The sequence below is a fragment of the Homo sapiens genome, chromosome 14 (assembly GCF_000001405.40).
Source record: "Homo sapiens chromosome 14, GRCh38.p14 Primary Assembly".
NCBI classification, from domain to species: Eukaryota; Metazoa; Chordata; class Mammalia; order Primates; family Hominidae; genus Homo; species Homo sapiens.
Window position 1 is genome coordinate 89,701,453 of NC_000014.9, and position 12,314 is coordinate 89,713,766.

General features: G+C 45.7%; 1 pseudogene, besides 1 other annotated feature; it reads left to right on the forward strand.

Moving 5' to 3' along the window:
* Nucleotides 213-272: a silencer, noted in NCBI's record as "silent region_6002". NCBI's record gives its function as "represses an Ori minimal core promoter by ATAC-STARR-seq in GM12878 lymphoblastoid cells {active_cell/tissue: GM12878}" and the evidence as "EXISTENCE:reporter gene assay evidence [ECO:0000049][PMID:35858748]".
* RN7SKP255 (RN7SK pseudogene 255) lies at nucleotides 11,059-11,298 on the forward strand (annotated as a pseudogene).

Consider the following 12,314-nt stretch of genomic DNA (forward strand, 5'->3'; position numbering starts at 1 on the left):
GGGGAGTGAGTGGGGCCGACCGGCCTTGCGGCCCTGCCACCTTTCGGGGCGACTCGGTTTCTCCACTGACACCCCCGGGCGCGAGGTCTGGTCCATCCCGGAGTGGGAGCTAGGCAGGGACGCCACCTGGCAGCCCACTCTGGGCCCCTGGCCCGCGTTTCCCGCAGGCGCCGGCGGCGTCGGGCGCGGCCGCCGCGCTGCCATGGCAACGGCGGTCCGCCCCCCCCCCGCTTCCCGGCGCCGGCGCGCCAGCGGGGCGGGGCGGGGCGGGCGTTGCTAGGAAACCGGCGGCGGGCCGCCTCCGCGGCGCGGTCTCTCGGCTTCCACCCTTCACCTACTTCCCCTGCGGGGCCGGAGTGGGGGAGGGTCGGGGGAGGCCATCGGGAAGCCACGTGGTGGCCCGGGGCCTCGCGGCTCATTCTGCGTTGCGCCGTCCCTTCCAGGTCGAGTTGACGGCCTTTTCCCCCTTGGCGTACAAGTATTGAGTCCCGCGCCCTGGGAGGGAGACGGCGCTCAGCAAATTTAGATGAATGCAACGCTTCAACGTGGGCTCTCGACCTCTGGTCCCCCATCCCCTGCCGGCTCTATTAGGACAATGAAGTCCCCAAACTCCACTGGAGGGTTCTTCACCCACTCTTCTTCCCCTCCAAAGGAACCATCTCTTGAACTTCACGAAATCCAGGAGCAATGCTAAGCGTTTTGTATACATCACCTCATTTTCAATCCTGTGAGGTGGGAGCTGGGAACTTCATTTTAACAGGAATAAAATGTGGCCTACAGCTGGTTGGGGTGGAGCCAGGACTTGAAGTCCAGTTGTGCTTATTAACTTCAAGTGTCTGCCTTTTTATAATGCTCAAGTTCGTCCTCTCAGCTGCCTCTTGGCTAGCCCAGCATCCCCCTTTGCTGTCCAAACACCCACACCAGCCAGGACACACTGTCTGGAACATGGTCTGACAAGGGGATTAAAAACTTGAAATCAAGGTTGTCCAAAAAATCTGGGGCATACGGTTTATGTTGATGTATCATTGATAATTTACAGATGTCCCACTCTGTAATGTACTACCAGAATAACCACTTATGATCATCAAATTCTTAGGAAATGAAAATCCAAACCAAAGACAATTGACTCATGGTAGGTACTCCATTCTGGGCTTTAACATTTTTTTTTTTTTTTCTTGTAAACCATAGCTGTTCACTAAGTGTTTTTTTTTTTTTTTTTTTTTCTTTATTTCCTTGTCACTGACTTGAAGCTCGAGAGTGTATTTTCTACTAGGGAACTGTCTTGGGTTGCCAAGGATTTGCGTGCAAGCAATTTATTAAGGAAGAGCTTCCAGGAGAAACTAGAAAGGGAAGCAGAATAGGAAAGAAGCAGCCAAGCAAGGGAGCAATTTAAGGTGAAGTTCCAGCCCCAGCAAGATCCCCAGCTAGTTCTGGAGCATAAATTAGAATTTATCCCAACTTGAGGCAAGGGAGCTGGGGTTTTCATAACCCTGCACCAATTAGTCACTGGCTATAGTCTTTCCTGGAAAGGGTGGGGGGACAAAAATACCTAGCACTTCTGGTTCTGAGGTGAGTCTGGGTGAGTCTAGGCACTTAATTTAGACGCGTTAAGTGAGTCTAGGTGCTTAATACCTCTTCTGCAGTGAAGTGGCTCCTATAGATTAAGGGAAGGAAGTTCTCTGAAGGAAGGGGTATGAACCTTTAGGAGTAAACCACTTAGAAGCTGGGGCTAGGGGCAATGAACTGGAAAGGGGGATATGAAGGGATCTGGGCAGAGCACCAACAACACCCATGACAGTCCACCCCCTGCACCACTTAGATCCACATGTGCATTAGTTCGTTCTCAGGCTGCTATAAAGAAATACCTGAGGCTGCAAAATTTACAGAGAAAAGAGGTTTAATTGGCTCATGGCTCTGCAGGCTGTACAGGAAGTATGGTGGCCTCTGCTTAGCTTCTGGGGAGATCTCAAGAAACCTTCAATCATGGTGGGAAGTGAAAGAGAAGCAGGTACATCCTACATGGCCAGGGCAGGACCAAGGAAGAGAAGGGGAGATGCTACACACTTTTAAGCAACCAGATCTTGCCATAACTCACTCATGAGAACAGCACCAAAGGGGAAATCTATTCCCATAATCCAGTTACCTCCCACCAGGCCCCCACCTCCAACACTGGGGATTACAAATCCACATGGGATTTGGGTGTGGACACAAATCCAAACGATATCAACATGCTTCTCACGTCAGTTTCACTTCATCATGTCACAGCTTATTCAAAAAAGACAGACCATAGATAGCCCTTGCTGCTGCAGCTGGTCCTAAGACAATAACATATTCATCATCTGTATTAGTTCCTTCTCATGGTGCTAACCTGAGACTGGGTAATTTATGAAGAGGTTTAATTGACTCACAGTTCAGCATGGCTGGGGAAGCCTCAGGAAACTTACAATCATGGTGGAAGGGGAAGCAAAGACATCCTTCTTCACATGGCTGCTGGAAGAAGAATGAAAGCTGAGTGAAGGGGCAAGCCCCTTATAAAATCATCAGATCTCATGAGAACTCACTCACTATCACTTGAATAGCATGGGGGAAACCACGCCCATGATTCAGTTACCTCCCACGGGGTCCCTCCTGTGATACTTGGAGATTATGGGAACTACAATTCAAGATGAGATTTGGGTGGAGACACAGTCAAATTATACCATAATCTTTCTTCCCTATCATCCATTCTAGATTCTCCTCAACCTCAACTAGCCCCCCATTTTTTTTTTTTTGAGACAGAGTCTCACTCTGTTGCCAGGCTGGAGTGCAGTGGCGCCATCTTGGTTCACTGCAATCTCTGCCTCCTGAGTTCAAGTGATTTTCCTCCCTCAGCCTCCCAAGTAGCTGGGACTACAGGCGCGCACCACCGCGCCTAGCTAATTTTTTTTGTATTTTTAGTAGAGATGGGGTTTCACCATGCTGGCCAGGATGGTCTCGATCTCCTGACCTTGTGATCCACCTGCCTCTGACTCCCAAAGTGCTGCGATTACAGGCATGAGCCACTGCGCCTGGTCCTCAACTAGCCCTGCTGCCAGTGTAGGTGGCTTGCCCAATGAAGTGACCCAAAACGTCATCTTTGAGGGATCTAAATTCTGTACTACCATGTCTTTATTAGGTAATGGTTTTTGAGTGGAAAAATGTTCCTCCCTGTCCCATTATGTAGCAGCAGCCCTACTTCCTTATAATAGTGGTCAGTTACCCCTACCATTATATAACTGCTTTTTTTTCCCCCTTCATGGAGTCCAAAATAGGACAGTAGCTGTAGTTTTGTTTAGTGGGACTCTTCTTGTGTCCACTGGTGCAAAGCATTTTCCTCCAGGAACTAGAACCTCTAGACCTAATGCTCTACAATTGTGAGGACAGGAAGCATACATTCCCCTAAGAAGTTCTCTGAGAGTGATGGTGAGCCAGGCTACTCCTATTTCCACCCTTTGCTTCCCAGACCCATGCACTCAACTCACTAGAGATGCAATATAGTATAATGGTTATTGGTTTAAGTCACATACTGCATCCTGAAGCATAATGCCCCAACCTCACACAGTATCATTTCTAAGTTTGTGCCTAGCTATGCCTTCAAAAAATGGTTATGATATTATCAGGATAGATGTTTCTGAATGGTGTGATATGTTGTGGGACCAGTGGATCTCACAGTTATGTGACTACCAACATATTTCCTCTACCAAAAAGTGAGGAAAAAAATGCTTTGTGGATTCTCTTAGTAAATCAGACATTCTGAGTCCTATATTAGATCTTGTCAAAGCACTGCAAGCAGGAAGGGCAAATCCATACACAGAATTTGTACCAATCCCAGTCAGAACAAAATGATGTCCGTTCTTTCCAGGATGAAAGAAGTCCTACTTAATTAACTTGCCACTAAGTCTCTGGTTGGTGTCCTCAAGGAATGGTCCTATACTGGGCACTCAGAGTCAGTCTATGTAATTGATAGATCAGATTTTTTGGGGGGGAGGGGGGAACGAAAAAAAGTCTGTCTTGTTCTGTTGCCCAGGCTGGAGTACAGTGGTGCCATCTTGGCTCACTGCAACCTCTGCCTCCTGGGCTTAAGTGATCCTCATGCCTCAGGCTTCAGAGTAGCTGGGATTACAGGCACACACCACCATGCCTGGCTAATTTTTGTATTTTTAGTAGAGACAGGGTTTTGCCATGTTGGCCAGGCTGATCTCAAACTCCTGGCCTCAAGCAGTCTGCCTGCCTTGGCCTCCCAAAGTGCTGGGATTACAGGCGTGAGCCACTGCACCTGGCCAGATCAGACATTTAGCAGTGGCAGTAGCTACATTAGCTATGGTGAGAAGAAGTTCATGCTTTTGGACTCATGCATAGCCTCCATTTCTATCACCATAGATACTACATTCATGAACCTATTGGGCAAGAACTAGGGTAGCAGCTAAAGACTAGGGTATCAGCAGCTGGCTGATATCTTCTGGATTAGTCATCATGTCTTAATGCCTCTTCTGCAGTGAACGCTCTCTGGTAGGCATTAATGTGCGATGCAAGAATCTGCATCCCCTTTGTGCCCACTCCTATAGGTCTTCTTCCCCCAAAACTCCTTGCCCCCATTTTCTAATTGTGCACCTTCCAGACCCAAGACCAACCAGTGGAGTCATTTGCTACTGGTATATTAGTCCATTCTCACAGTGCTATAAAGAAATACCTGAGACTGGGTAATTTATAAAGAGGCTTAATTGACTCACAGTTCCACAGGCTGTACAGAAGGCCTCAGGAAACTTACAATCATGGTGGAAGGGTGAATGGGATGCCAGCACGTCTTACACGGTGGGAACAGGAGGAGGAGAGAGAAAAGTGGGAGGTGCTACACACTTTCAAACAACCAGATCTCATGAGAACTCTCACCATGAGGCAGCACTAGGGGGATGGTGTTAAACCATTAGAAACCCACTTCCGTGATCCAGTCACCTCCCACCAGGTCTCACCTCCAACCCTGGGGATCACAATTCAACATGAGATTTGTGTGGGGACACAGCCAAACCATATCAACTGGGAAGTCCAAGATCAGCCCCAAGGTGCTGGCAGATTCAGCACCTGAACCTGAGGGCTGCTTTATAGACAGCCATCTTCTCACTATTACCTCACATGTTGGAAAAGACTAGCTAGCTCTCTGGGGCTTCTTTTATAAGGGCACTAATCCTAGTCATGAAGGGGGAGCCCTCATAACCTAAGCACCTCCCATCTTGGGACTAGGACGTCAACATATGAATTTTGCAGGGAACACAAACATTTAGTCTATAGCACCAAGCAAGGTTGTGAATTAAAGTGAAGTTCCAGCCTCAACCTGACCCCTTAGGAGATTTTGAGAATAAATTAACCAGGAGTTTGTCCTACCTGAAAGCAAGGGGGCTAGGCTTTTATACTCCTGCACTAGTAAGGAGTATATATAGGCCACCATGGGGGTTTGCGAGTTCCCAGACATTTTTGGTTCTGGAAGCATCTGCGTGAAGAGGTTCCAGGGTACCAAGAGGAGTCCTCTGAAGAGAACTGCAGATGTGAACTCTTGGGAGTAAAGCCTGTAGAAACTGGGGGATGGGTACACTGAACCAATTAGGAGGAAACTTTTGGGGATCCTGACAGAGTACCACAACTACTGAAAAAGCTAAGATTAATATACAGCTAACTGACATAGAGCTCCTTGCAACTGACAAAATGGTAAACTAACCTGGGCTTCTGGCTTCCCCCTCCTCCCCAGAATCTATCTCTGAAGAAACCACTGGGGAGACATAAAGACAGTGGATCCCCATGTGTGGGTTGGTGAGGGCACAGTGCATGACAGCTCTGAGCATCAGAGAAACAGTTTCAATGGAAAGATTCTGAGTAGACCATTACCTTTTGTGTCTGGGTTATAGAAGACTGTGACTTCCATGTTGCTACTAGACTCACTCTATTGTGTTGTTGGGTTGCATGCTTTGATATAGCGAGCAGCTTTACCAAAGCATGCAACTCCAGAACACAACGCTGCAGAGGCCCACATGGCAAGACGATGCAGGAGGCCTCCAGCCAACAGCCTGCAAGGAACTGTGCCCTTCAGCCCAATAACTCTTAGGAAACTGAAATCTGCCAACATGAGCTGGGAAGGGGAGGATCCTTTTCCGGGTGAGCCTTCAAATGACAACACAGCCCTGGTCAATAACTTGACTGTGGCCCATGAGAGACCCTGAAGCAGAGGATCTAACTAAATCATGCTCAGATCTGTGATCCACAGAAACTGTAAGATAATACTTGTATGTTGTTTTAAGCCACTAAGTTGTGGCAATTTGTTACACAGCAATAGACAGCGAATACAAGCTTTCTGCAGCTGGTCTTTAGGCTTGAGCATACCCACCCTGTGTATGGTTATCAGTGTACAGGTCTTAGCTACCTGCTAGAATATAATGCCCAACTTTGGATCTCCCTGCAGCACCTAGGGTCTTGCCCTGCACATTGGAAGTACACAGTAAATGATTCCTTTAAAGGAACTCCAGGCCTAAATACCAGGCATTTATAATAATAATAACAAGAAATGATTTACTTACTATCTGCCAGATCTTGTTCTAGGTCATTTAAAAATCTTAATTAATTAATTAAAAAAAATTTTTTTAAGATAGGGTCTTGCTCTTTTTAAAGGTAGGGCCAGGCTAGAGTGCACAATCATAGCGTACTACAACCTCAAACTCCTGGGCTCAAGTGATCTTCCTGCCCAACCTTCCTCGTAGCTAGGACTATAGGCATGTACCAAACACTGGGCTATATTTTTAATTTTTAATTGTTTTGTGGAGATGGGTCTAGCTATATTTTCCAGGTTGGTTTCAAGCAATTCTCCTGCCTCAGCCTCCCAAAGTGCTGGGGTTACAGGCATAAGTCACTGCATCCAGCCAAATTTTCATATTATTTAATCCTCATAGCCATCATATTAAGTAGGTTCTATCAGGACTTCCATTTCTTTCTTTCTTTCTTTCTTTTTTTTGAGACAGGTTCTCACTCTGCCACCCAGCCTGGATTGCAGTGGCGCGATCTCTGCTCACTGCAACCTCCGCCTCCTGGGCTCACGTGATTCTCCCACCTCAGCCCCACAAGTAGCCGGGAGTACAGGTGTGATCCACCACACCCAGCTAAATGTTGTATTTTTTGTAGAGACAGGGTTTCACCATGTTGGCCAGGCTGATCTTAAACTTCTGAGCTCAAGCGATCCATCCACCTCAGCCTCCCAAAGTGCTGGGACTACAGGCATGAGCCATTGTACCCAGTCAGGACTTCCATTTTTATGAGAAACACGAGGTTTATAGCAAACAAAGAACTCGACAAAGTCTGACATTGAGACTGGCTGAGCTGGGACAGTCAGTCTGAAACCCGGACAACCCAGTTTCAGAGTCTGTGTTGCCTGTTAGAATTGAGAAGAGATGGAGATCAGAACCACATAAACATTGTCATTTTCTGAAGCACCATTAAAAATTCCAACTCCTCAGCCACCTGTCAGCTATCAGAGGGCAGGATTGTACCTTGTTTGACATGAAATCACACCATTAATATTCAAAACACAGAAGTAGTAGGAGCCTTTAAAAATCGGTTGAATTAGTGAAGAATGAATGAATGAATGTGACGCCTTGAGTAGGATGTGGGGTGGAAAGAAAAGGGAACATATAGAATGTTCTATTTCTAGATATTACAGTAGCAGAATCACATGGCTCATTCCCACATGTTTCTGTACAGTTGTTATCAATATTAGCTCTCCCAGTAGTTATCTGATAGCATGAGTCAGGAAATATGGTGCATTTTTCTTGATTTGAAATTGAGAGCAGAAATAATTCATAAGAGGTAAGTGAAGTGGAAGGCAGTTATTGTCCCTAACAAATGTGTCTATTTCTTACTGGTGTATGTACATGTGCACACACCGAGAGTCCTGGATAGATCTAATTCTGCATTCATACTAGTCTATTGCCTGCAGGGATAAGTGAGGTTATGTAATGGGCTGGTTCAAAGAATGTGCTTGCTTATATATGCAAATATCTGTCTAAATTGCTTAAAACAACAAGTTTCTTAACACTCTAAACTGGGGGAATTTGGTTTGAAATGTTTAGACATTACCCCTCATTAGGCCTGCCTACTACAAATATATGAAATGAAAAATGGCTCCTTTCAATGCCAAGTTCCTTAGCCACATGATAGTTTTAGAGTAAAGGAAGAAGTTGAAGTCTTTTCTTATATTTCATTCATATTTTAAGTACTTGAGTCAGGATAATAATTGTATTCATTAACAATTTTTGGCTGGGCACAGTGGCTCACGCCTGTAATCCCAACACTTTGGGAGGCCAAGGTGGGTGGATCACCTGAAGTCAGGAATTTGAGACCAACCTAGCCAACATGGCGAAACCCCGTCTTTATTGAAAATACAAAAAATTATCTGGATGTGGTGGTGTGCACCTGTAATCCCAGCTATTCAGGAGGCTGAGGCATGAGAATCACTTAAACCCGGGAGGTGGAGGTTGCAGCGAGCCAAGATCGTGCCACTGCACTCCAACCTGGGTGACAGAGTGAGACTCTGTCTCAAAAAAACAAAAAACAAAGAACAAAAAAAAATTTATGATTAGGCTGCTTTGTTTATTTCACACAGACACAAAATGTATGGTAGAGTTCCACTAACTATGTGGTCATCCTCTACTTAGCAGAAGTGGACTCTGCTGTTTTTATTTACTTATTTAATCAATTTTATTTTTTTGAGACAGGGTCTCACTCTGTCACCCAGGCTGGAGTGCAATGGCATGAGCTCAGCTCACTGCAACCTCTGCCTCCAGATTCAAGCAATTCTCCTGCCTCAGCCTCCCAAGTAGCTGGGATTATAGGCGCCTGCCACCATGCCCGGCTAATTTTATATTTTTAGTAGAGATGGGGTTTCATCATGTTGGCCAGGCTGGTGTTGAACTCCTGACCTTAGGTGATCTGCCCGCCTCGGCTTCCCAGACTCTGCTATTTTAGGTGGTGCATTCTGCTCTCTAAGAAAACTAGGTGCAGCTAATTGAGCTACATTTTCTTGAGCTTTCTTTTGCCTTTCTCTTTTCTTTGATTGCCATCCTGACGGTGGCACACAAAGCTGGTCACACCGAGCCCTGGTTCACAGCTTTGGCTGACTCTCCTGGTCTCCTCAAAATAAAAGGTACAGTCCTTGGCCTGACCTTTCTGGCCTTTGTCATCCAGCCTCTACTCCTATCACTGACTTCATCTGTCAAAGGTTTCTCCCACTCTCCAGCCTCCATCTTTCTTCTCTTCTCCTCCATTTTCAGTTTCTCAAATTTTCTATGATTTCCAAAGCCTTTAGGCATTTGCACACATGATTCCCTCTGTCTTGTTCACCTTTCTTCCCCACTCCCTGGGTCTTGACTGACTCTTGGGCTTCCTGCTAAGATGTCAGCACCATTGAAGCACTCCCTCAGCTGAGGTTGGGTGCTGCATTAGTCTGTTTTCACACTGCTGTTACAGACATACTCGACACTGGGCAATTTACAAAAGAAAGAGGTTTAATGGACTCATAGTTCCATGTGGCTGCGGAGGCCTCACAATCATGGTGGAAGGCGAAAGGCATGTCTCACATGGAGGCAGACGAGAGAAGAGAATGAAAGCCAAGTGAAAGAGGTTTCCCCTTATAAAACCATCAGATCTCATAGATTTATTCACAACCACGAAAACCGTATGGGGAAACTGCCCCCATGATTCAATTTTCTCCCACTGGGTCCCTCCCACAACATGTGGGAATTATGGGAGATACAATTCAAGAGGAGATTTGGGTGGGGATACAGCCAAACCATATCAGATGCCCTCCTCAGGGCTCCTGTGGGTCCCAGAAGACACCCTGCTGAGGGCCCACTTCATTAACATTGTCCAACTCCCTGCTGGCCCATGAGCTCCTAGAGGGCTGGGACCCTGTACTGTTTGCTTCAGTACCCTGCACAGGGGCCTGGGTCATAGAAGAAATTTTAAAAACATAAAAGGAAAAAAATCTGTTAATGAATGTCCTCATTACTCTCCTGTAACCTTCGTTTTTCCCCTTTGGGGGGATCTAAACTGCAATTAGTACAGTTAGTAGAGTTTGTAAATTTCATTCCAACTGAATGACAGTTTAAGTAAAATAAAAGCTGTTAGCACAATAGAGAAATTTTTTGAAAGCAAAATTAAATTAACTTTGGAAATTTCAATCACATGAAATTAATTTCTATAATTTAAAGCACAAATTTGAAAAACAGCTTCTCAAATCTTGGATTCAAGCACTGCTTCTAAATCAATCTATTTTCAATGCTTGCAGACCCCCATCACTGTATGAGAATATGGCCATAAAGGTGATGCTGCCTCTCACCCTCCCTCGCAACTTTTCTTAGAAAGCGTGACATGCATTTTTTTTTCTGCTGGCATTATAATGAAAGGAAGGGTAAATATAGTAAGATTTTGCTTCATGTAGTGCTATAGGACATAAAAATAGATAAGGTCTAAAGAACTGTAAAATATAGTGTTTATGAACCAAATTGATTTTTATTTAGAACAGAATTCTCTCTGTGCAGTGCACACTGTTGCCTTTGGCATCTCCCCTGATATTACTGGCAGTAATAACAGTTTCACCAAAGTGAAGGGATGTAACTTTGATAATTTAGGAGTGTTCTCAATCAGGCCTCAACACCCTCCTAGATGGAATTGTCTTTAAAACTGGTGCTGGAAGTTGATAAAATCAAGGCTTTATTTTTACTGTAAAGGTTCTGATGGGCCTTGTTCTAAACTCTTTGTAAACTATAAATCACTATTAGAATTTTGTTTAGAGTCTGAAACTGCCTTTATCGTTTTGAATTTTTAGAGCCGGGGGCTGAATTTCCTGTTCGTGTACAACATGTAGCTCTTATTCTAGGAAAAACTCCAGTGACATTCTTGTTCAGTAAAGTGAAGTAGGCCTGATCCTATTTATCAAGACTGACTTCTTAGGTTTGCTGAAAAGACATTCAATGGCTCACCAGGCAAATCAAGAAATGAGAACAAGGATGTGAGGGCGATCTGGCTGCGACATCTGTCACCCCATTGATCGCCAGGGTTGATTTGGCTGATCTGGCTGGCTAGGCGGGTGTCCCCTTCCTCCCTCACCGCTCCATGTGCGTCCCTCCCGAAGCTGCGCGCTCGGTCGAAGAGGACGACCATCCCCGACAGAGGAGGACCAGTCTTCGGTCAAGGGTATACGAGTAGCTGCGCTCCACTGCTAGAACCTCCAAACAAGCTCTCAAGAAATGAGAACAACACCAAAAGAGAGCATAAGATAAAGGGGGTGTCTCAGTCTGTTTGGGCTGACTGATACCATAGACTGGGTAATTTATAAACAACAGAAATTTACTGCCCACAGTTCTGGAGGCTGGGAAGTCCAAGATCAAGGCAGCAGCAGATCTGGTTTCTTGTGAGGGCTCATGCCTCATAGATGGCACCTTCTATGTGTCCACACATGGTAGAAGGGACAAACAAGCTCTCCAGGCCTTGATTGTAAGGGCATTAATCCCATTCACTAGGGCAGTGTCCTCATGACCTAATCACCTCCCCCACCTCTTAATACCATCACAGTGGGGGTTAGGTTTCAGTGTGAATTTTGGGGGGACACAAAAATTCAGACCATAGCAGAGGATGTGTTCGCTTCTTAGGGCTGCCATAACACATTGCCATAAGCTTGGTGGTTTACAAAAAATGGTACCTATTCTCTTACAGATCTGGAGGCCAGAAGTCCAGAATCAAGGTGTTGGAAGGATTGGTTCCTTCTGGTGGCTATGAGGAAGAATCCATTCCACACCTCTTTCCTAGCTTCTGGTGGTTGTCAGCAATCCTTTGCATCCTTTGGCTTGTAGAAGCATGACTCTAATCTCTGCCTCCATCATCACAGGCCCTCCCACTTTGTGTCTTCATGTCTGTGTCCCACATCTCCTTCTCCTTTCTCTTAGAAGGAGCCCAGTCATTGAATTTAGGTCCACCCTAAATCCAGGATGACTTTATTTAAAGATCTTTAATTACATCTGCAAGGACCCTAATTTTTTTTAAGTTCTGGGGTACAAGTGCAGGACATGCAGGTTTGTTACATAGGTAAACATGTGCCACAGTAGTTTGCTGCACCTGTCAACCCATCATCTAGGTATTAAGCCCCACATCCATTAGCTATTTATCCTGATGTTCTCCCTCCCCCCAACCCCATGACAGGCCCTGGTGTGTGTTGTTCTCCTCTCTGTGTCCATGTGTTCTCATTGTTTAGCTCCCACTTAAGA